Source organism: Homo sapiens, chromosome 12 (assembly GCF_000001405.40).
Source record: "Homo sapiens chromosome 12, GRCh38.p14 Primary Assembly".
Taxonomy (NCBI): Eukaryota; Metazoa; Chordata; class Mammalia; order Primates; family Hominidae; genus Homo; species Homo sapiens.
The window spans coordinates 26,539,503-26,565,147 of NC_000012.12; the positions used below are offsets into that span (position 1 = coordinate 26,539,503).

At 38.0% G+C, this 25,645-nt stretch overlaps 1 protein-coding gene across 8 annotated transcripts in view, besides 1 other annotated feature; it reads right to left on the reverse strand.

Moving 5' to 3' along the window:
- ITPR2 (inositol 1,4,5-trisphosphate receptor type 2) overlaps positions 1-25,645 on the reverse strand; it is a 497,843-nt gene that overhangs the window by 204,151 nt on the left and 268,047 nt on the right. For all 8 annotated transcript variants that reach the window (XR_001748686.3, XR_001748687.2, NM_001414174.1 and 5 more), the window contains 3 exons: positions 22,260-22,450; positions 16,731-16,873; positions 10,745-10,853 (listed from right to left, as the gene is read on the reverse strand). Coding sequence is in view for 6 of the 8 variants with exons in the window: in NM_001414174.1 (NP_001401103.1) it covers positions 10,745-10,853; positions 16,731-16,873; positions 22,260-22,450 (443 nt within the window). In the remaining 2 variants the exon portion in view is untranslated. The remainder of the gene's footprint in view (positions 1-10,744; positions 10,854-16,730; positions 16,874-22,259; positions 22,451-25,645) is intronic.
- Positions 8,586-8,755: an enhancer, noted in NCBI's record as "experimental_26967 CRE fragment used in MPRA reporter constructs". NCBI's record gives its function as "activates a minimal promoter by MPRAs in K562 erythroleukemia cells, with activity observed for both the introgressed and non-introgressed 12:26701106 variant alleles {active_cell/tissue: K562}" and the evidence as "EXISTENCE:reporter gene assay evidence [ECO:0000049][PMID:34662402]".

Consider the following 25,645-nt stretch of genomic DNA (forward strand, 5'->3'; position numbering starts at 1 on the left):
TTCCTACTGGATCCAGGACGAGCGCCCTTCCTGGGACAGAAGCCCCATGGCTGGAACCCCCTCCCCACTGGCTGGCCTTCAGATTTGGTCATCATCTGCTCCAATCCCCCTTGGCTGAGCTCACACCATAACTGTGCACAGTGTCTGGGATCCTCTTTTGCTTTCTAAGCCACACAGTGAGCAAAAGACAACAGCAGTCCCCTGGTCCCAGTGCCTTCTGCGAGACGTCTTCTTCCTCAGCCCTCTATGCTGTGGTTCTCTGCTGCCCACCCAAGTTTGCAGGGATGTCAAATACAAAGAAACCTGCTGTTACCTGGGTAACAGAGATATGCAAAGTATAACATGACATGATATGTCTAGAATCTACTTCTTGGATAGGACTAGGGAAGGTCAATGTGCTGCATTGCAGAGAGCTGGTAACATTTACATCTACTATGTGTCAATCTGTCCCTCTGCAAACATTTATTGAGTAGCAACTAAGTGCAGGGCACAATTCTAGACATAGAAATACTTCAGTGAATAAGATCAACAGTCTCTGCTTTCAAATAGTATACCATTTTGTGGAGGGTGGGCTGGAACTGGAGAGAAATCCAGTACTCTACCCTCCTAGATTCTCAGCACTGAAAGGCCTTTTAGGCATTCTTTCCCCTTACATTATGCATCAGCCCTATCCCCAAGGAGTTTCTAACTTATTTAAAATGGCAGTACATACACCAAAGAAAACCTTCATAAGGCATGATATGAAAAGGTCTACACTAATAAGATAAATATAATTTGATAAGTGCTGAAATGATTACAAATTAGAATGATATGGAATTAAACTAAATGGGAAATACTTCCTGGAAAAGGTTTTAGGTTTAGATTTAGGTGGAAATGATGAACATGATAACTTAATAATACATTGATTTTAGTGATTCTCCTTTTAGTTCCTTATTCTCTTCTCCTTTTTTTTCTTTTAATGCTATCCAAGTTTGTTTTTTAATCACAATGCCATTTTTCACCTACAATCATTAGCTACCAAATGTCCTATACTTACTAGAGGCAATGAATGGTGGTTACCTTCTGAGTACAGGCAATATTTTCAATATGACTTTTTAGTCATAGATCTCTAAAGAGTGGTAGCATATCTCAAAAACCCTTGAAGCAATGAGTGCTATTATGTGAGATTTTGAAAGAGTAAAGTAAATGTGAGGCACAGTTAAGAACTTTGTAATTTTTTTGTAATAATGAGGTTAAAATGAATATAATTCATCCAGTAAATTTATCACTTTTATAGTCTAACAAGTGACCAAACCAGCCCAGCAACTGAAAAGAGTAAATTTCTAAAAGCAACTGTTGCTTTTATACCCACTTTAATGGTTGAAAGTATTTTTGCCTAAGTGAAAATATAAAATAAAAATTCCAAAGTGGAAGAGCATGCTAATAATGTATACTAAAGCAGATGTCTTATTATAAGAACACATCAACTCATTTTCATATTTCCAACCACTTAGCGACATAGCACATGTGTTAAAACATAACACAGCTGGGCGTGGTGGCTCAAACCTATAATCCCAGCACTTTGGGAGGCCGAGGCAGGTGGATCACCTTAGGTCAGGAGTTCAAGACCAGCCTGGTCAACATGGTGAAACCCCATCTCTGCTTAAAAAAAAAAAAAAAAAAAAATTAGCTGGACATGGTGGCAGCCGCCTGTAATCCCAGCTACTCGGGAGGCTGAGACAGGAGAATCACTTGAACCCGGGAGGCAGAGGTTGCAGTGAGCTGAGATCACGCCATTGCACTCCAGCATGGGTGACAAGAGTGAAACTCCATCTCAAAAAAATAAAATAAAATAACACATGCAGGTGCACACAACCACAATATACATGGGAATGACTAAGATGGTACACAGTTGCAGCATCACTAATATTTGATTTAAAACAACATTAGAGCACTTATATTACAAAACAAATGTACTCACCTCTAAAATGTATTTAATAAGAAATATTATAAAATACAGCTGATAATAAAACTAAAATGTGTTTCTCTCAGCAAAAGTTATTATCCAATTTTTAAGCTACAATGCAGTCTATGTAGCATTTCTATTTAAATTCATTCATTTGCCTGCTAGAAACTGAAATGAGTATATGCATAGATGTGAATGATTCTATACAGATTGATACAATAAGAGGAGCTTGATACAATTTACAAATTTGCAACAATGCAATTATTGCTGGGACTGACACATGCATATTTGATGTAGGAGTTAAGTTGCTTGGTATAATTATGACATTCTTTTTGTGACTTCTCAAAATTAGAAATAAAAGATTAGTTACAATATTTTTTCCTGCTGAGGATAAGAATAAATTTCTTGTTAACTCAGGAGTCAGTATATTTTAGAGTTAAAAAAAAAAAAGAGGACATCTTAAAAATAATTCAGGCATCATTTCTTAAAGATCTTTATTCCATATCACTCCGGATATCAACTTTCAAATCAAGAATCCATTGTCTGCTACCACTATTCAATGTCTAAATATCACCTACCCAACCTGGGCATTTGTAAAGATCACAGCTCTCAATTAGATGCTATGCTATTTGTTGAAAGCCACACTTCAACAAGGGGCTATCTCCAGTAGTCATCTTACAAAATATTGTTTAGAACTTTTATAACTAATATTCTAGTTAATAACGACTCAGACCGTGATCACAAGGTGGGTGTCAAGCCTTTCCTGGGCAGCTCACTGAATAAATGGATTATGCTTTCCAGTACACACTTAGGCAAATTTTATCAAGAATAAAATTGAAGAACTTTTCATGTTATTTAGTTTTGTAACTGAGAAAATAAATGAGTTGTGATTATAAGTCCTATAACCTGTTTGGATCTAACATGCCAATGAAGTGTGTGAGCTCAGAAGCGCAACTGTTTAGGTTGGAATCCCAGGTCTCTTTCTCCTAAGATGTGTGACCTTAAAAACTTTCTATACCTCAGTTTCCTAACCAGTAAAAGGGAGATAATAAAACTATGACATAGGGTTGAAGAATAAATAAGGTAACATATATAAGTGATTAGGAACAGTGTCTGACAGTACTGTCTGATAATAACAATGTCACACGGTAAGCTCTTAATAAATGCTAGCTATTAATTTTTAAAACCGTTGCTTAAAACTGTACCATAGCTATTGCAGAGGCAGCTCTCAATATTTTTGCAACAATATTCCAAGGATAGATGGTATTTTAAATCTGATCATTTTAAGAATATTGAACTTTACTATAAAAACATCTCTGTTGCCCTATAGATTATATGTATGTCAGTGTAACATTAACAGATAGGAATATAGTCATGGGGAAATTGTAACTGTCATTCTAAATAGGTCAACTTCTTTGACTAGAATGTAAAGAGAATAACTGTAAATTACCATTTCCACAGGCGATCCATGAATATTTTCAATGCTCGTTCTCTTCTCCAATTCTAAAGTACAGAAGCTATGAATTTTATATACTTAGGATTGGAGTTGACAGACATCTCTACTTTCATGATTTATATATGTTTTTCCCTTTTTATGAGAGAAATAACTTGTAATGCTCTATAAATCTTGATGAAAATGTATACTAAAGAGTACAAGATGCGGGAAATTGACCCCCAAAATCCTTAAAACCAAACCAAACCAAACCATTCCTCTGAGTGCAGTCCTTATTTCCTGCTCCAACCTCATCAGCCCACCTCTATCCAATCCACGTAAGCTCTTTCTGTCTCCATTAGCAACTCACCACTACACAGATTTGGACCTCTAAAGTATCTTTAAATACACAGAACGAAGGCACAGTACTTTAATAAAGCTATTCTCTTCATCAGCACACACATACTATCAGATATTGTGTGTGTTTGTGTGTGTGTGTGACAGAGACAGGGGAAGAGAGAGAGAGAGAGGAGAGAGAGGGAGAGAGAAAGAGAGTGTCATGGAAATAAGAGTAGAACAAAATGGCTTTAAGGATAGAGAATTTTAGAAATCACATTGCCCTCAGGCTGGGCACGGTAGCTCACAGCACTTTGGGAGGCTGAAGCAGGTGGATTGCTTGAGGTCAGGAGTTCAAGACCAGCCTGACCAAGATGGTGAAACCCTGTTTCTACTAAAAATACAAAAATTAGCTGGGTGGCAGGTGCCTGTAATCCCAGCTACTCGGAAGGCTGAGGCAGGAGAATCACTTGAACCCAGGAGGTGGAGATCGCAGTGAGCCAAGATAGCATCACTGCACTCCAGCCTGGGTGGCAGAGCAAGACTCTGTCTCAAAGAAAAAGAGAAATCACACTGCCCTCCAGCCATTTTGAAGCATTCCTTCTCTTCTCTTTCCCTACCCCAATGTTCCAACATACATATTTTTTTAAAGTACAAATAAATATGCCTGCTGTTGTTACGTTTAAAAAGCCTTCTAAATATGCCAACCCCAAAGGAAAACTAAGCTCTCAGACTTGTTAGGGTTGTTAGTTACATCCTTTGTAAACTCTTGCTTTTCTATCACAGTCACCTAAACAAACAGTATTTTAAGGGGGAATTTTTTAAAACTCAGGTAATTTTCCCCTTAAAGACTTTCTATAAAAAATTTTCACATTTTATCCTTCCATTAAAAATAAATACTATAGCTTAACTAACTATATGATCCCTAGATGATTTCACATATAGGCACACTTCACAGAAAATTAAATTTTCCTTTATTTATTTTATTCTTTCAAGAATCTTTAAGATGTTGCCCACCCGTATCTTATTTCTCAGTGTCTTAGGCACAAACTAAGAAACATGGGTCAAGGAAGAATATCCCTAAGTATAATTAATTTAGAAATTGTACTCAAGGGTATTCTAAATTATAAGCTTTTAATAAATAATTGACCAGTAGGTAAAATCTAATTACATTTAGTTACATTAAATATCCTTAATGTAATTCCTTAATACATCATACAGAGAAGGCTAACAAACTCGGGAAATTTAGAATCCCAGGGTTGAGAATTGCTTTAAAGGACATTTGGTTCAACCATGAAGCAAATTTATGCTTCATTGCCCTATTTTTAAATTTTTACCAGTTTCACACATAGACACACACACACACAGACAAACACACAGAGACACACAGACACACACACACACACACACATACACCACTTCTGGTGTCAGGAACCAAGGAAATAAAAATAGTAATTTTCTTTTAAGTTGACATTTTAAATTCAAATAAGTGGAGTCTCAAATGTAATATTAGAATAGCTCGTGTGAAAAACCCTGGTTTGAGTTTTCTGTTTTGATTTAATTCTGATAAATCTCCTGGGAATGCTTCAATACACAGTCGAAATCCAGCTGGTTAGGCATTACAGGGCAGGTATTGGGTAACCTATGTGACTTAACGCAATTCACTTTTCTGAGTCTCTCTTTTCACATTTGCAATGTGGAGGTAACACTGCCTGTTCTGTGTATGTGTTAGAATTGTTGAAAGGTAGCAAAATATTCTAAAATATTTTGAAAACAGCAAAGTGCTATAGATTCCAAGCATTTTTGTTCTATTCATTTGCATTTAAATTGCCCTACACAGTAATATTAATCAGCCACAAGTAAATACTACATCTACATTCTAGATGTTATTTCTCACTGTCAATAAAAGGGTCATTGTGATAGGCAGAATAATGGCCCTCCCCAAAGATGCACATGTCCTCATGATCCCTTTCCTAGTCACCAGAACCTGTAAACATGTTACCTCACATGCCAAAAGGGATTCGGCAGGTGTGATTTGAGTTAAGGCTCTTGAGATGGGAAAATTATACCAGATTATCCAGGTGGTTCCAATGTAATCACAGGTGTTCTTATAGGAAGGAGACAGGAGCATCAGAGTAGGACGAGATGTGACAATTGTGGGAAGGGGGGCGGGAAATAGGGAGTGGAGATTGAAAGGTACTACACTACCGGCTTTAAAGATAGGGGATGGGGCCACGAGCCAAGGAATGCAGGTGGCCTCCAGAATCCAGAAAAGGCAAGGAAATGAACTCTCCCCTAGAGTCTGCAGAAGGAACACACTACTGCTCACACCTTGATTTTAAGCTCTTGACTTTCAAAACTGTAAGATAATAAATTTGTGTGGTTTTACACACCACAAAGTTTCTGGTCAGTAGGAAAAAATACAGTCATGGAAACACAGCCACCCCTTATCCCACTATTGATAATTAGGGCTTGTTATTAGAGCCCACCATTGGTTGTACAATAGTATCTTTTGCTACTTTTTGAATCTATCATCCAAGGCCATTTCACCCAAATGGGTGAGCCATTTAGCTCCCCTCCACTGGCATGGATCACTGAGCACCAGCTGTTTCAGAAGGACCAATGGACAAAATACAGAGATCATGGAGTCCCAACTCATTCCCAAACTGGTTGTTTGAATCCTTCTAGATCCAATATGCTTATCTTTAAGATTTCCTGAGAGGGGAATGAGATGTCTTCTGCTTCCACTGATAGAAATACTTCTCATTTCAAAACACTTAGAATTAAAAAGTTGTCTAAGAGCTAGAATTGCTTTAGCTATAATTTTTTATTCTGTCCTTAGTAAACATGAAAATTAAGAAACAATAAAATTAAGAAATAAGATATGTATGCTTTTTATAAGGCTTTTCCTTTTTCTTTTTTGTTCTTATAAATTTACAGGATAAATGAGACATTTTGTTACATGTATATAAATGTGTAGTGATCAAGTCAGTGTATTTGATGTGTCCATCACTCAAATACAACATATTTTGTTAAGTATAGTCACCCTACTCTGCTATCAAACATTGAATTTATTCCTTCTGTCATACTGTATGTTTGTGGCCTTTAACCCAGTTCCCTTCATTTTCCCACTCCCACCCTTCCCAGTCTCTGTTACCTATCTTTCCACTCTCTTACCTTCATATGATCAAATGTGTTAGCTCCCACATATAAGTGAGAACATGTAGTATTTGTCTTTTTGTACCTGGCTTATTTCCCTTAAGATAATGACCTTCAGTTCCATGCAGCATCCACGTTGCTGCAAATGACATGATATCATATTCTTTTGGAAGAATCTTAAAATTCATATGGAACCAAAAAAGAGTTGGAATAGCCAAAGCAATCCTGAGTGAAAAGAACAAAGCTGGAGGCATCAAATTATCTAACTTATAATATATTGCAGGGCTACACTACACTAACCAAAGCAGCACGGTATTGGTATAAAAATAGACACACAGACCAATGGAACAGAATGAAGAATTCAGGAACAAAGCCATATATTTACAGCCAACTGATCTTCAACAAAGCAGATAAGAACTTACACTGGGGAAAGAACACCCTCTCCAATAAATGACACTGGGAAAATTGGACAGTCACATGCAGAAGAAACTGGATCCCTATCTCTCACCATATACAAAAATCAACTCAAAATGGATTAAAGACTTAAATATAAAACTTGAAACGATAAAAATACTGGAAGAAAACCTAGGGAAAACTCTCTTGGAAATTGGTCTAGGCAAATAATTTATGGCTAAGATCTGAAAAGCACAGGCAACAGAAACAAAAATAGACAAATGGGACTATCTTAAACTAAAAAGCTTCTGCACAGCAGAGGAAACACTCAACAGAGTGAAGAGACAACCTGTTGAATGGGAGAAAATATTTGCAAATTATTTATCTGACTGGAGACTAGTAACCAAAATATACAAGAAACTCAAACAACTCAACAGGACAAAAGCAAATAACCTCATTAGAAAGTGGGCAAAAGACATGACTAGATATTTCTCAAAGGAAGACAGAGAAATGGCCGAGAAGCATATGAAAAACTCCTCAACATCACTTATCATCAGAGCAATGCAACTCAAAATGACAACAGGGTATTATCTTTCCCCAGCCAGAATGGCTATTATTAAAAAGACAAAAAAATAACAGACGTTGATGAGGATGTGGAGAAAAGGAAACTCAAACCTTACTGGTGGGAATGTAAACTAGTAGAGCCACTGTGAAAAACAGTACAGAGATTTCTCAAAAAATGAAAAACAGAATTATCATTGGATTCAGCAATCCCACTACTGAGTATTTATCCAAGGAAAAGAAATGAACATATCAAAGGGATACCTGCACTCACATGTTTACTGCAACATTATTCACCACAGCAAAGACATGGAATCAACCCAAATGTCCCTTGACGGATGAATGGGTAAAGAAAATGTGATGAATATATGTGCAATGGAATTTTATTCAGCCATAAAAAAATGAAATCAGGTTTTTCTTTCTTAGTTAAATGACTTCATTTCCCCCATATTTACTATTTTCTTAGAAGTTTATCTGAATCTTTACCTATTTTGGATGTTATTCCTGTCTTATATTCTGTCTGCCTATGTCTTAAAATTTGGCGCCATAAACCTGCTAGACAAAGTATACTAACCTTTCTTAATAGCAATGCAAAAAATTTGTAAAACTTGGCTATGATCAAAGGAGTAAGAAGATTAAACAAAGAGGAAGGAGTTCCAATTTAAACTTTGGTTCTAGCTCTTGCTGTGTAACCTCAGTCAAATCACATCACCTCTCTGGGACTCTGTGGCATCATCTATAAAATAAGGAGCTTGGACTAAATTTCCAGATACAGCCTAAAGTGTCCTAAAAGAGAAGCATGAAGTATTTTGGTAATTCTATTGAGAAAGTAATCACCACTTGCTGGAACAATTGATAAGTACTACCCAGTAGCTCCTCCACAAAGATAGCCGGTGGCATTGAGGCTTGATTGGATTTTTGCAATCTATGATTCCAGATGAAGCAAAGGTCAGGGCAGGAAAAGCCTGAGGTACATTATAGGTACATTGAGTAACACAGATTTCCGGAGGCTAATGGATGAAGACAGATGGGGGTGTGAAGTGGAGAGGACAAATGGAGGGCCTGGAACACTGACGCTGTGCAGAGCCCCTGATGGTTTCTGAAGGGCTCTAGTGATCTCTTCCCTACACTATTAAGGGAGTCCACTAGCACAGGAATTGTATCCATTCATGGCCCTTGGCAAGCTGTGTCATTCATATCAGTATCCCCAGTTCCCAGGCACAATAATCACCATTTAATAGTTTGCTGACAACATATGTGTTGGGTGACTGAATGAAGAACTTGCAATTAGCCTTTCCCATCTCAACTCTTCTGTGAGGGCTATGTGCTGGGGGTGTCCTTTACATCACATCTTGCATAAATGGGGACCCTTGGAGTTAGGAAAACAGCAGCCCTGCCTCCACCCAAGGGAGCAGTTCTGTCTCAGGAAACTGCACTCCTGGAATTTTCTCAACAGGAGGTAATAAAAGCCTGAACTAGTGATAGCAGTGGGAATGGAAAGGAGAAAACAAGTGATTTATTTTAGAGTGGTTTGGGAGACACATAAAAATACTCTTGACTAGCCAAAGTAAAAATTTAACCTGATTTCTTTCCGATTTTCCTTTGGAGTAATTCAATAAAAATCTGTTACATAAAAATGGAAGACTTGCCATGTACCTCCTGTTAAGTGCAAGTCACTTTTATTGTGAACCTCGTCCTTTGCCAGAAAAGGATATTGACCTCATTTTTCTACTTCAGAATCTGGTACTTCAGTCAATATCCCACAATCTACAGCAATATTTTAAGAGAAAGACAACCAAAAGTCCCAAGGAATTCTCTTTATCATTTTTTAAATATGAAAGCACGTTTTTGAGTCCTATCTTAGAGAAATATTTGCTAAAATTGCATTGACCACCTTTATTTTGATCATTTGTTTTCCAAATATAATTTAAGTGATGCAGAGAACTAATGCAAAGTAGAAGGCATTTTGATTACTGAAACAAACATTGATTCACATGGAATATTTTGAAGCAATGCTCTTTCTATTAATATCTAAGTTTCCATTGCATTTTTTTCTAAGATGGGAATGCACTTTAAAAAACCCAACCACTACAATCTTTCTGGAATTTAGCATATACATAAAGTAATACATAAAATCCTTCCAGTTTTAAAATATCAGATGATTAGTATTTACCGAAACAGACCAAAAAGTTATTGAGGAACATGGTACAAATTTTGTTTAATATCTAACATAAAAGTACAGACAGCTAGCTAAAAAAAATTCTCTAGATTTATACTTTATATTTAAGTGTATCACCTTGGGTATCAAACATGCTGCTAGCTATCTCTTAATGAGCACCTGAGCTGTCATTTTTAATAACAGACTGACAATTATTATCTATAGGTTGATATTTCCCTGAAAATCACTTGTGAATCTCAAGTTAATATAGTTAAGAATAGAAACTGACTATTCCACTTACTAAAATAGTATTATTTTATAAAACTTGGCAGAATATTATAAAAAATAACATGAATATATATTTATAATAAAAAAATCAACATATGCCAAAATGCATAGACATTCTCAGTATGTGGCAGAACTTTACACAAAATCTAAATAATGCATCTCAGTTACTCATTGTTTAAAAAGGTCATTTGGTCCACTAAAGCCATAAGAGGAAAAAACACAGATCCAAGAATATAATATAAGAATATAATAAAACAAATATCTAGGAAACTCTAATTTTAGTTATTTCCCAGTTTAAAACAAGGCATGAGAGATGAATATCATAAAAACTCAAATTATATAATTCATCTAAGTACATGCATCATTAAGATATAATGCAAGTAATCACGTAATAGCCTATTGTAATTCATAGGTTACAGTATTGGGGAAATCCTACTTTATTTTTAAATAATAAAGTTTTTTAAAAAAATACCTCTTCCACAAAGCTGTCTTTCTTCTCTAACATTTCTCGTAATGTCTGAAGAATTTTAATGCACAGTTTTTCTTCTTTCTCCATTAGTTTCTTTGTATGATTAATCAACCTTAAAGCAAAACATGAGACCTTTAGAAAGACAGTGATTTCTCTTCAAGCTATATACAAACATCAAAGGCCATAGGGGAAAAAATTTACACAATTATTTGAGAATATGAAGCAAACCAGGTACATGTTTTCAAAAGTTTTAAGATCACACTTCAGCTTATAAATTTTGTATTACAACACATTATTTTTGTCTTACAACAAAATATCTCAGGGCTTCTCAAACTTACTCAGGTGGCATTCTTTTAGTGGGATACAATACTCTGAGAAACAATGAAATACTAATATTCTCACCCCAATATATGAACTAAAACAAATTTATTAGAGAAATACAAATATTTATATTATATTACATTTTATTATGTTATACTATATTATTTTTATATACTGTATTACATTAAGCATACAGTAGCAGTGGCTGTATACAACTCTGCAACCTTAATATAACAGGCTGCTTTCCAGTTTCCATTCATAATAATATGATATTTTTCACTGCCAGGGTTTGGTAGGAACAAGCAGTTTTTGTATTAAGAGCAAAAAACAAAACAAAACAAAAGTGACATCAAGACAGTCTAACCATTTACTAGTTTGGGTATAATTTGGGCAAAAACTCCAATCAATTTTCATCAAGTGGTACACTGTGCACTGGTGCTCCGTTAGGAGAAGAGTTTCAAGATCACCATCCCCAAGAACTTAAAATCAAATAAAATGTTCATTAACAGAATTTAGCTTATATAGCTATATATATCGCCTATATAGCTCATGTTGTTAAAAAGCTGATCCTCAAAATGACCCTGTAAGATGTCTTCCTTAAATGATCCAATTTCAGTGACATAACATGAATACTGTGGGATATAACCCTGGGGAAAAAGTGAACTTTCACTGGTTAATGGCTACCAAGTGCTTATCAGGTGTCAGGGTCAAGTGTAAGGGCTTCCCAGGGACTCCCAATTTACCCTCACACCAAGCCTATGAGACAGGTTCAGACTAATTTTGCTCATGACAGAACAGAGGCCCAGGGAGATAGGGCAACTTGCCTCTGGTTACCTAAATTGTTAAGTGGTGAGACCTGCAAATGCATTCAGGTCCATCTGACCTCAGAGCGAAAATTCTTAAGAACGACTCTGTGGTGACAGGACTCAGGTCACTGATCTCCTGAGTCTCAGGGGTCTTGTGCAGAGTCCCCACACATGCTAGGCTGCACACAGCCCCCTGAATGAGCAAGTGCCACAACAGAGGCATTGGCAAATGCTGTGAACCAGACATGAAACCACTTCATTCTGCTGGGGGGAATTACCTAGGGCTGATCAGAGAAGGTTTCAGTGAAGAGATAGCATGCTACTAATGAAGATTTCACCTGGCAAGGAAGGCTCGGGAGAGAAGACATCCCTGCAAAGGGAATGGTATGAACACAGGACAGAGGCAGAAACCTGGCCGGCATGTCCAGGAAATGAGAAGCATGACAACTGCCCGCTGACACTTAAAGACCTGGAAGAGGAAAGTGTAAGAGATGTGGTTTGGAAAGAAGGGACTGGAATATTAACCTCAAGAGTCTGGAATGTTTTCTAGAGAAAATAGGGAACCACTGTTCTAAAGCACCTGAATGCCTCTTCCCATTGTGAGAAAGAGACCAATGATGGCAGCGGGAAAGATGAAGCAGAGGAGACGGAGCAAGGCGAGTGAGCAGTGGCAGAGGTTGGGTGAGGACGTACGAAGCAACAGAGAAGACCCACAGCAGAGACTTGTAAATGATGACATGTGGGAAGTGGAAGAGGAAGCAGGGCAGATTAGAGACCCCTGAAATGTATAGACTAGGCTAATGTGTGGATGGTGATCAGTTTTTTTTTAATTTATTTAATGAGACAGGGTCTCTGTCACCCAGGCTGGAGTGCGGTGATGTGATCATAGCTCATTGCAGCCTAGACCTCCTGGGCTCAAGCTATCCTCCCACCTCAGCCTCCTGAGTAGCTGGGACCACAGGTATATGCCACCATGCCTGGCTAAATTTTTTTACTTTTTGCAGAGATAGGGTCTTGCTTTGTGGCCCAGGCTGGTTTCAAACTCAAGGGATCCCCCTGCTTCAGCCTCCCAAAGTGCTGGGATTAGAAGTGTGAGCCATCACACCCAGCTCAATGGTGACAGTTTAAAATGACACTGTTACATGGTGAAGAAGTAGCAAACACACAATGAAAGTAACACTGATGTCCTTTTAGACATGTTGAGTCTAGAAAAGGTGTTATATCCATGCGGTCAGGCCTAGCAGGCAGAAGAATTTCAAAAGTTCTCCTGGCAAGGAAAGTGAAGCCTGCCTTTCTAAAACTTCTACTATTCGATTCTTTCTTTCACGCAACACTTTTTTTTTAATTTTTAATTTTTGTGGATACATAGTAGGCATATACATTCACATAATAGTCTTTAAATATGGGAAAATCGTTTCGGTGGACATGATAAATTTCTTTTGATTTTGTTTTTCGCTCTCTCAGGCTAAGTATTTCCATTTTCTTTAACTCTTCCTTAGATAAACCATATTGAAAATATCAACCATAAGGTTGAATGACCACTTGCTACAGATTTATAAAAGGTATTCAAAGGCCACATAATGTTTGGTTGAGTTAGGTCGGTGACTTTCAAATATTTTTCTATGATCAAAGTAAGAAATATATTTCACAAAACAACCCAGTAAAGAAGTACCTGTGTGGGAGTGTGTGTATAAACTCACACAAATGTCACCCTCACTATGAGATGCACTCTGATAATTTGTATCTTCTCTAATTCATTTTTTAAATTAGCTGGTTGCGTCTACCTAAGTCAGTTTAAAAATCTATAAATGGATCACACCCCACGGTTTGAAAAACACTGAGATTCTCCTTCACAAGGGAGAAGTAGGTGTTGATTTGAATGGACTCTAATCAGCCGCCTTAAAGGTTAACAGTATCATTGACCTATTCTCTTCTCTTTCACTCTATGTGTTAAGTAGACTCCTGTCCTGGGGTCTATCCTCATATTCTCCTGCAGACTCATCTGAGTCAACAGATTCCAAGAATTAGATTTATTTGAGAAAGCAGGAAGCCCTACTTAGGGCTTGGCCCTAAATTTATATTCTCCAGCTAAGCTTTACCAGGATGGTATGCACAGCAATACAAGACCCCTGGCAGCCAGGCATGGTAGCTCACGCCTGTAATCCCAGCACTTTGGGAGGCCGATGTGGGTGGATCATGAGGTCAGGAGATTGAGACCATCCTGGCTAACACGGTGAAACCCTGTCTCTTAAAAAACAGAAAAAATTAGCTGGGCTTGGTGGCGGTTGCCTCTAGTCCCAGCTACTCGGGAGGCTGAGGCAGGATAATGGCGTGAACCAGGGAGGCAGAGCTTGCAGTGAGCCAAGATTGCGCCACTGCACTCCAGCCTGGGTGACAGAGCAAGACTCCGTCTCAAAAAAAAAGACCCCTGGCAAAGCTATTCATAAAGTTGGATTTTAATTTTGTAAGATATTCTTACAAAGGAAACCCTTAGTTCTTCACAGAGTTGGGGAAGTGGTAGGGTGAGCAGTAAGGCAGAAAACAGACAATCCTGAGGCTCTGGCTGTAATATAATTGCAATAGCACAAAAATCCCTTCTAGAACTACTCATGTAAACACAACATCATTTTACTTCATGTGCGTGTGGGATCTGCAATGTATTCCTATTATCACATCACTTCTGCTTCTCTCCTTTCAGGTTACCTAATGATGCCACAGGCTTGTCTCCATCTGCAGCACAGCTCAATATTTGCTTGATATCATGAGTTACTTCATAACACTTTCTCATAGACCAGTATCTCCAAGTTCTAGACCAGTGCTGTCTAACAGAACTCTCTGCAAAAATACACGTGTTCCATATTTGTGCTGCCAAATTTGGTAGCCATTAGCCACATGTGGCTACTGAGCACTTGAAATGTTGCAGATATGACTGAGGAAGTGGATTTTTATTTCATTTTAATTCATTTAAACTATAATTTAAATAACCATGTGTGGCTAGTAGCTACCATACTGGCACCCTAGTTCTCGACAAGGAGTCAGGAAACCTTTTCTCTAAAGGATCAGACAGTAAATATTTTAGGCTTTGTGGGGTACACAGTCTCTGTGGCAACTAACTGATTCTGCCACAGTGGCATGAAAGCAGCCACAGACAATCCAGAAATGAATGAGCACTACTGTATTTCAGTAAAACTTTATTTACAGAAATGAGTAGCAGGACCAATTTAGCCTGAGGGCCAGAGCTTGCCAACCCGTTCCAGGCTGTCACATCTCGGGGATATAGCTATTGTATTATGTTAATTTACTGAATTTAACAGGTTTATCGCCTAACTTTTAACCCATATTCCATACACTGACATATATTTATAGGAGATGAAGGGTATTTATCAAAGATCCTATTATCTTTGCTTTTTTTTTTCATTTAGTTCTTATGTTTAGATCTGTAATGGGTACAGGTGCAGAGTTCTCACATGCATGTATGTGCAGTGGTGAAGTCTGGGCTTTCAACGTACCCATCATCTGAATAATGAACTGCGCTCAACACCCTATTTTTATAGTGAATTACTAGGCAATACCTCCACTTAAAATTTTCTTTCTACTGTTCTCAGCAGTCATCAGTTGTACACTCAGGGCCTCTTCACTTTAAAATCCTTACTCACAAGACTGGCAGGTGTCTGGACAAATACACTCTTCCCAATCTCCCTAAGACGCAATGAGTCTAAAGCCAAAAATACCTGATTCTGGCCATAGTATAAAAACCCCACCTATTCTTCAACATGATCCCTGTAGTCAGTTTTTCTCATCCCATACCTTGTTTTCACTCCCAAGGTTCCAGCTTAAATGGTGAAAGAAAGGAACACACTTCTTGTGTGCCCTAGTCCTTTAATCTCTGCCTCGATATATCACAGTTGATAGAAGAGGTTTCCAGATCTATTTTGGTAATACCCTCTACCACACAGGAATTAGCTGGGATGAGTCATGGTCAAGGGGCTTGGCAAGCTCATCTCACTGACTCTCCATCCAGATACTCTTCCCAGGAAGACCAAGCACCCTCTTTCTGACTGGCCATCTAGGGTCTACATGTGACGACCTGCGGATCCCCCTCAATAACGTGCCCTCCACATAAAGACAAGTCTCTTCTTTCTGGAACTAGTTATGCTTTTTCTCACAACTGCTTATCCTTGCACATCTCCCTTGAGAATTTTTCACTTATCATTAAGATGAAGATACTCTAGGGTAAACATATCAGCTATAATAGATCTGCAATACCACAAACGCTAAGAAACATCAGTAAACGGAAGAGCGGCAGATGAGGATCATCCAGGCAGCATGGCCATGTGCGGGGTCTGAGTCTTACTAACCCTGCACCTGAAGCACACGTGGTCCTCAGCAATCTCCTCTCTGAATCAGGCTGACCTCCCAGTCTCTGGGTGTTTATGCAGATTAGATAAAATAATAGTTAAACACATATGACAATAGTAAGACCTCAATAAAAGCTAGCTCTTTTTCCTTTCTCCCTATGTTAATGAAAATAAGTGACTTTAAACAAGAATTTTTTTAAAGGTCACACCATATAATTATGGAAAGGAATTAGGACCAAAATATTATTTTGCATGATACTTTGTGCCCCATAATGACACACTTTATTTTCAGTAAATTTAGTAAAATATGATAACTTGACCTTCACCAAAATAAAATTTCAAATGAATCAATTTAATTATTCTGGCAGTATATTTTAACATGGATTTTAGACCTTTCGCATACTTTGCGGACTGTCATTTTATATCAGTGAAGTATAAAGCGGAAATGTTAGAGGCCATGTCAGTTTGACGACACTAGCAGAATCTCAGATTGGATCCACTTACTTCGACATGAAAGCGCCACATCTTATTCTTGCATCGCTTCCCTCAGGGAACAGCAGTTCTGGACTGTACAATACATCAACCAACACTGAGAATTCAGCCTGCATCATTGGGCTGAACTGGTGCTCCAAGGAGGCCACTACATCCTAGGGAATGAAACACAAGAGAACCCACATGAAGGCGTAAGTCAGATTTCATCTTTCGAAGATAAGACAAGCTCAAGAATACTAATGGGAATTTTATAGATGCCCCTCTATTTCCATAGCAGCAAATGTCTGTGCCATAATTATAGTCTGGTTTTATGTAAGAATATTGCCTGGGTCTCTATTTTTTTTTTTGTGTGTGTGTGTGTGTGTGTGTGTGTGTTTTTGTTTATAAGATAAGGGACGGACAGGTAGCTATAAGACTTCTAAGGATATACACCTATAGAGGAAAAGTCAGTTAAGCCACTGTATGTGCCCTGCAGTGCCTAGGATTATAATGGAGACATGAGAGGTACTCATTACTTTGCAATAAATTAGGGGAATACCCAGGGAACAGCTTAAAAAAAAAAAAAAAAAAAATTCCAGCCAGGTGCGGTGCCTCACGCATGTAATCCCAGCACTTTGGGAGGCCAAGGCAGGTGGATTGCATGAGGCCAGGATTTGGGGACCAGCCTGGTCAACATGGTGAAACCATGTCTCTACTAAAAATACAAAAATCAGCCAGGCATGGTGGCATGCGCGTGTGGTCCCAGCTACTCAGGAGGCTGAGGTGGGAGAATCACCTGAGCCTGGGAGGCGGAGGTTGCAGTGACGCAATATAGCACCATTGCACTCCAGCCTGGGTGACAGAGCCAAACCCTGTCTCAAATTGAAAAAAAAAAAATTCCCATGTGTCATTGGTCATTCAGAATGAATCATTTCATCCAATGGGGAAAGTCACTGAAATATTATTTGAAGCAATATTAGTACTATACATGGGTTCAGTGACATTCAACAGAATTTCAAATTATATTTTTTGAGAGACCCTATTGGTCACCTACCCAACAGCCTTTCTTCACTCTCTTCCTTGCTAACAGAATCTCAATGTCATTTCTGAGTCAGGCCACAACATTCTCAGGGGATGAGCCCCCTCAGCTTAGGGTCAAGATTGATTACTCTAAGCAGAGGCATGGTTATCCCATTTCCGCCTGTAGCAATCTGTCCAGGTATGATTATGCGACACAGTCCCAGTCAATGAGACATCAGGTGAAGTCAGCTGAGAGAGCAGGGTACATGTGGTGTGTGGGGAGGTTCTTTCAAAACCACCTACTGCTCTCAAGGCAGCTTGAGGGTGTGAATCCGAAATCTGAGACAGCCCTCGTGTGACCCTGGGAGACCAGCATCAAGCTGAATGCCTACAGACCTTTGGTTTTAGGGGCCCAGGCCTACAATTAGCAAACTCAAGGAAAGCCACAGCTCCAGGTTTCTTGCTATGTGAAATGATATGGTCTTTATTATTTAAGTCACTTTTAGTTGAATGTTGTGTTATTTAAAGCTGAAAGCATCTTAACTGATATGTTTCTAAAATGAACTGCAGGTAATCATAATTTCCTAAACATTCTTTAATGGTTAAAGCACCCCCATTTTATTTTTAAACTACATTAGAAGAAAAAAAAACTAACTTCTTACATAAAGGAACAATTTATTCACCCATAGCTATGGCATATTTTTATCAAGCAGAACATTGCCAATTGCTTATTGTCACTCTTAGCTACAGAAGCACAGATGGGGATGTCACCCTCTTGATTTCTTATAAATTATGTTAATTCATGTTTTAATTCTTTCTCTTTCTGAAAAAGTGATCATTTCTACTTCAACCACTCTAAATAAGCTTTCTGAGAAATGTCTGAAAACAATTAAAAGAGACTAATGGGAACTAGCATAAAGGGGAAAACTAGATATTATATAAAAGTGGGGAGAGCATGTTTATCAAATATGACAATATTTAATTAAATGTCCCTGTTGTTTAGATTACCTCTTCTTTGTTTCATCTATTAAACAAATAGCACTCAGGCTGCTGTGATGTGAATTCTGTCTTTAACTCTTATTTTGGTCATGAGGCAACTATGCAACCTCCCTAAGTCATTGTTTCCCCACTTGAAAGCTTAGGATAATGATACTAACAATCACGTGAGTTTGCTGCAAGGATTAAAGGTAAGTGCATAGAACATCCTCTAACACATACAGGCCACTTATTCCATATAAATGCTAGTAATCTTTATTATTGAGCACCAGTTAGCTGTGATCATCACCCAAACTCAGTGGTTTACTTGCCTGTCTTCATCTTAATCACTCCTAACCATTTTACACACTGGTTTCTGCTCTTTGAAACACTTTCTGCTCTTGACTTCTATGACATCACACTTTATTTTCCACCTACGTCCTTACTATTTCTTCATCAACTCTTGATAGCTCCTGCTCCTTTTCTCTTTGCTATCTACATTTTCTTCCGAGAAATCTCATCCAATTCTATGGTTTTAATAACATCTGTATGTTGGAACTCCCACATTTATATTTCCAGCATGGACATCTTTCTAAACCACTTCAGACTCACTTATCTAACAGCCTAGTTGACACACTCACTTAGGTATCTAAATAGGCATCTCAACTTTAAAATTCCCCAAATAGAACTCCTAATTTCAACTCAGCCTCAAATTCTTTCTCTCCCATTACTTCCTATCTTAGTAAATAACACAATCATATCAAAACCAGAGTCATCCTTGATTCTTCTTTCCATTATCCTACAACACATCGATTCATCCACCAAGTTCTATTAGTTCTACAACTAAATACATACAAAATTAATACACTTCTCTGCATTACTATTGTTACCTCCTTAAGCCAAGCTACCATCACCTTTTGCCTGAATTAATGCAAAGCTACCTAACTAGATTCACTGCTTCCATGTCTGGATCTTATAATACACTCAGAATTCACAGTGATCTTTTAAAAAGTAAACCAGGTCAGCCTCTCCTCTGCTGAAAATCTTCAATGAGTTGTCATCACACATAGAATACAATTAAAATGCCTTAATATGTGCCTTAATCTGTTCAGGCTGCTATAACAAAATAGCTTAAACTGAGTAGCTTATGAACAACAGAAATTATTTCTCATAGTTCTGGAGGCTGCAAAGTCCAAGATCAGGCACCAGCAGATTTGTTGTCTGGTGAGGATGCACTTCCTGGTTCATAGAGGGTACTTCTCTTGCTGTGTCCTCACATGGTAGAAGGGCTGAATGAGCTTGCACGGGCCTATTTTATAGGGACTCTAATCGCAACTCCCAGAAGACATCACCTCCTAATACTAATACTAATACTATCCCCTTGGGGGTTAGAATTTCAGCATATGAATTTGGGGTGGGGGAGGACACAAACACTCAGGGCACAGCCATAGCACCATGTAAGTCTCTACATGATTTGGCCCCTTATCTCATAATATTTTCTTCCTTTACTCACTAAACTCCTGCCCCAGTGGGCTTTTCTTGGATCTTCAAACCCATCAACCTCCTGTCTAAGCACCTTTGCATTTCCTATTTCCTTCCCATAAAACTATCTGAACCTAAATCTTGGAATAGATTATTCATCTTCATTATTCATATCTCAACACAACTGTTACTCTGGCAGAGAGGAACTTCACAATTACAGGGCCACCCTCCCAGTAATTCTCCACCATGCTGTTACTCTGTTCTATTTTTTACATTGCAGTTTTAATTATCCAACAATTTATCATTTATTTAATGAGTTAGAATGCATGTCCCAGAAGAGCATAGACCCCATGGCTCTCTCTTTAGCACTTCACACAGTGGCTAGCATAGAATTTTCACTAAATAAATACTTACTTAATGGATATCAATCTATTAAAAGAAGTTTACTAAAAGAAGTTTAAGGCACACCCTCTCTGTGCTGGTTGGCACTACTATATACCTCTCCTCTGAAATGTTCCACTCCCTTTGCTCTCCTGATCCTCCTCCTTTCTGACCCACTTTTTTTTCTTGCACTCTTTATGTGGCCATTCTGCTACCCTTAGCCTCTCATAGGGCGTTCTTTTTTTTTCTCCTATCACTGTATTTTCTCTTTTAGCAATACCAACCACTATCCTTGCTCCAACTATTATCTTCAAATATAGACTTAACTTCCAATATACTCAGTAGCCTGCTACCCTAGTTCACTGTATTTTCCATTGCCCTCCTATTGCATTCTCTTCTCCTCTGCTCTTAAAATAAACAGTCTTAATGATACTACCTAGTCTCTAATCATCGGGGCCTCTTAAACTCCTCTCATGCCCTGTCTCTACTTCCACCTAAGAGCCCCAGGTCTGCTGACCCTGCCTTCATTATTATCTGCAACACCTATTTCTTCATTTCATCCATATCACCACCTGGCTTAGACCTTAAGTAACTTCTCACTAGTCCCTCTTCCTCTAGTCTCTTTTAGATAACCCTATCCTACAAATCAAGAACCACTTATAATGGCATTTTCCCCAAAATTTTTAATGTCTCACACCATTTAGGTTTCTCATACTCTCTGAATCTAACTTGTCCTTCTAATCCCGTATAACACTCATCTACATGTTACCTCTCATAATATTTATTTCAGTTAATGTCTTGGCCATTTTGTAGAAAAAAAACTTCTTCAAACTATACCCCAATTCAACTCCATGCAATATTCTACTAATTATGTGAATGGGAAGATGTCTATTATGGGCTGAATTAGAACTCCCCCAAATTTCATATGTTGAAGGCCTAACTCACAGTACCTCAGAATGTGACTGTCTTTAGAGCTAGGGCTTTCAAAAGTGTAATTAAGATAAAATGAGTTCATATGAGCGGGCCCTAATCCAACATAACTGGTATCCTTATAAGAAGAAGGGATTAGGACACAGACATGTGCAAACACAGAGGAAAGAGCCTATGAGGACACAGCAGGAAGTCCACCATGTGCAAGCCCAGGAGAGAAGCCTCAGGAGAAAGCATACCTGCTGATACCTTGATCTTGGACTTCTAGCCTCCAAAACTATGAGAAAATAAATTTCTGTTGTTTAAGCCACCAAGTCTGTGACATTCTGCAACAGCAGCCCTGGCAAACTAATACAATTTCCAGGCCTAAATCAGGAGTGAGATACTATACAAGTAATTTGGGAGCAAGGTGCTTGGATCATTCTGACCAAAGGATTAGAAGGGAATACTAAAACATAAGTTGAAGCAAGATTATGAATATTTAGTTGATTTACCAGTGTTATCATTGCTATTATGATCATTATTTTGATATTAAGACCCACTATTCACTACTATACTATCAAAACAGAGTTATTAATATACACTCATTAAAAAATAACTCACGACATATGGAAGCTATATGTTTAAAAAGAGCAGTGGTAGTAGAGAGTTGTAAAGCAAGGCCTGGTCCCCAAATAGAACTTGATATTTTAAACCATATTTTATTTATGTGACTACATATTTTTAAAAAATATAATTTAGAAAATATTAATGCTATTTCACGCTTTCATGTACCTGTAACTTTTCAATAATATTTCTGTAATCCCAAGCAGGCCCTCCAAGAGCTTCCTTAAAGCGTGGCCCAGAGCGAGCTGATAGTCTCCAACCCATTGCTGCTCTCTGCACCATATTTGAATGGCTCTTCATGAAAAGAGTATTAACTTGGCTGTCCAAATCCACTGGAATGGCAATTCCACGATTTTTTGCTGAAAAAGAAAGATTTAAAATATTTCCCTCTTAATTTGACTAAAGTTTCTTACATATTATCCATACAATCTTATAAACATAAAAGAAAAAATATTAAATCTTTAAACTCTGCCATTAACTTGTTTTATATAACTGTAAAAGCTTCTAACCTGAATGTATTTCAATTCTTAAGACCAATTAGTAAAGTGGGTTCATGAAACATTCAAGAACTTATTTGATTTCTTAATGATTCATGCTTGAAATGTACTTTATACAGCATCAATACAGAAACACACTGTATAACAACCAGCATATTTGTACCTTCCCAGATGCCAACATAAATAAGAAAGCAGACATAAAACACACGATATAATTCTTCCACTCCATTCATTAATTTAAGTAGTGTTTGTGTGCACACAAAATTGTATGTGATGAAACATCTGAGAATAGAAATAACAAGTTGAAGAGTGTAAAACATCTGCATTGGAAGAGGGCACTCTTCCCGAGATCTGCTCTCTTCCCAAGATCTGCTGAAATTTATATTTTAACAAGTTTACATCACAACAATACTGAAAATTGAGAATGCTTGTCACAAAGAAAGCAGTAATGTTGAAGCATTTTTGCAAGGCAAAATGAAGATGGGATTAGTCCATCAGCGAAAGAAGAGAAGAAACTGCCCCACAAGAGATTAGAGTTAGAAAAGGTCTTCCCAGGTGTGCAGTCAACCAAAACAAAGTGCAGCAGGGATATGGGGCAACTCATTAAAGAATAACAGCTGAACAATGAGAACACTTGGACACAGGAAGGGGAACATCACACACCAGGGCCTGTTGAGGGGTGGGGGAAGGGGGGGAGGGATAGCATTAGGAGATATACCTAATGTAAATGACAAGTTAATGGGTGCAGCACACCAACATGGCACATGTATACATATGTAACAAACCTGCACGTTGTGCACATGTACCCTAGAACTTAAAGTATAATTAAAAAAAAAAAGAAATAACACAAAACATGAAGAAAAACTTGTATAGCAAAAAAAAAAGACAAAGGTAAGATACAAAGGATATATTTTTCTATATTTTATCCAAATTAAATCAATGACAACGGATTAAAAAAAATAATAACAGCTGAAGAGCTGGGAAGCTAAGGCCCTCCTCCCTCTGATTAGCATAGACATAGCAGTTGGCAGAAGCAGTTTTTACCTGGAGGACAAAGTCAGAGAAATGAAGAAATGTTCTCTCAAGAAAGTAGAATACCTGACTGGACAGAATGCCAAATGCAGGTGTTAGAACTTGATAGAGAAGCAAAATGGAGCTTGAAGTAATGGCAGAGACCATCAAGTAAGAGGTAAAACGTGGGCTGGGTGTGTTGGCTCACGCCTGTAATCCCAGCACTTTGGGAGGCCGAGGCAGGCGGATCACAAGGTCAGGAGATCGAGACCATCCTGGCCAACATGGTGAAACCCCATCTCTACTAAAAATACGAAAACTAGCTGGGTGTGGTGGTGCATGCCTGTAATCCCAGCTACTCAGGAAGCTGAGGCAGGAGAATCGCTTGAACCCAGTAGGCAGAGGTTGCACACCACTGCACTGCAGCCTGGTGAGAGAACTAGACTCCATCTAAAAAAAAAAAAGATAGAATGTGGGGAGAGAGAAGAGGCAGCACCAGCAGAGAGAGGAAATATATTAAATTCTCCAACTCCTGCGCAAAGCCCTCCTTACTTAACATTTACTGGTGTTCCCAGTCTGCCTCTGCTATACACACACATGCACATATGCATGCACGCACACAAACACAAACACAGCCTAAAGGAAAGCCTGAGTATCATTTGGTCAGCCTTTGGCCTCTCATACAGAATTCCAGGTCAGCCCTGTCATTTATACAAGAATTCTAGGAAGGAAACAGGCCTTTAAAACTGCAGTGGAAACCTATGCCAGTCATTACGGACTTTCCTAATTACGAACACACCACCTAGGATCACAAGGAAAACCAATACCATTAAGAATAACCAATCCTAGTGAAAACAGGGATGACTCAAGGAAAAGCAAGAAATATTTAAATAATCCTAATTATTGTCCTCAGAGAATTTGAGTATATACTGCATCCAAAAAATTAGAAAATCAGAAAGAAGAATGACATCTTAGAAATTAAAATGTCCTTGCATACATAAACATGTGAAAAATTGGCTGAAAAATAACTGATAGAAACACAATTGGTAATCTGGAAAGGAAGTCAAGGAATCTTCTAAAAATTAAGCATAAAAGATCAAAAAGCAGAATAAAACAGAGAGACTGTGAAATAAAGAGGGTAAACCCAGGAATTTAAATATCTAACAAATATAAGTTCCAGAAAGAAATAGCAGATACAATGTGAGAGAAGAAATTATTAAGAAAACAATATAAGACAACTTCCTTGAGCTTAAGACACATGTACATCTCCAAATTAAAAAGGTCCACAATATGTTAAACAGGATTAAGTAAGCATATTGGCCGTATTCTGGTAGAATTTTAGAATGCTGTTTTGGGTTGAACTGCATCCCCAAAAAGTATATGTTGAAGTATTAATCATCACTCCCCCTGAATGTGACCTTATTTGGAAATACGGTCTTTGCAGATGTAATCACGTTAAGTTGAGGTCATACTGAATCATGGTGGGCCCCAATCCAATTCAACTGGTGTCCTTATAAGAAGGGAAGGAGAGACACAGAGAAATACCTGAGGGACACACACGATGTGAAGATGGAGGAAGAGAATGGATTTATGCAGCTGCAAGCCAAAGAATGCCAAAGATTGTCAGCAAACCTCAGAAGCTAAGAGAAAGGCATGGAACGAATTCTTCCCTGGAGCCTTCAGAGAGAGCATGGTACTGATGAACCCTTGATTCCAGACTCCTAGTCTCCAAATTGTGAGACACTAAAATTTCTGTTGTTTTAAGCTACACAGTTATGCTAATTTATGGCCAGCCGTAGAAAAATATACAAATGTCAATAGTATGGAGAAAATATCAAGTACTTCCAGAGAGAAAAGATGATTCCTAAAAAGAGTCTGACTAGCATCAGACTTATCATCATCAGCATTGAATGCTAAAAGATCCAATACCTTTATAGATGAAAAATTTTGAAACACGGACTTTATGTCCATCTAAACTAAAAATCAAATGTAATTCCCAAACAAAAACATTTCAAAATACGTAAAGGCTCAGAAATTCTTCAATGA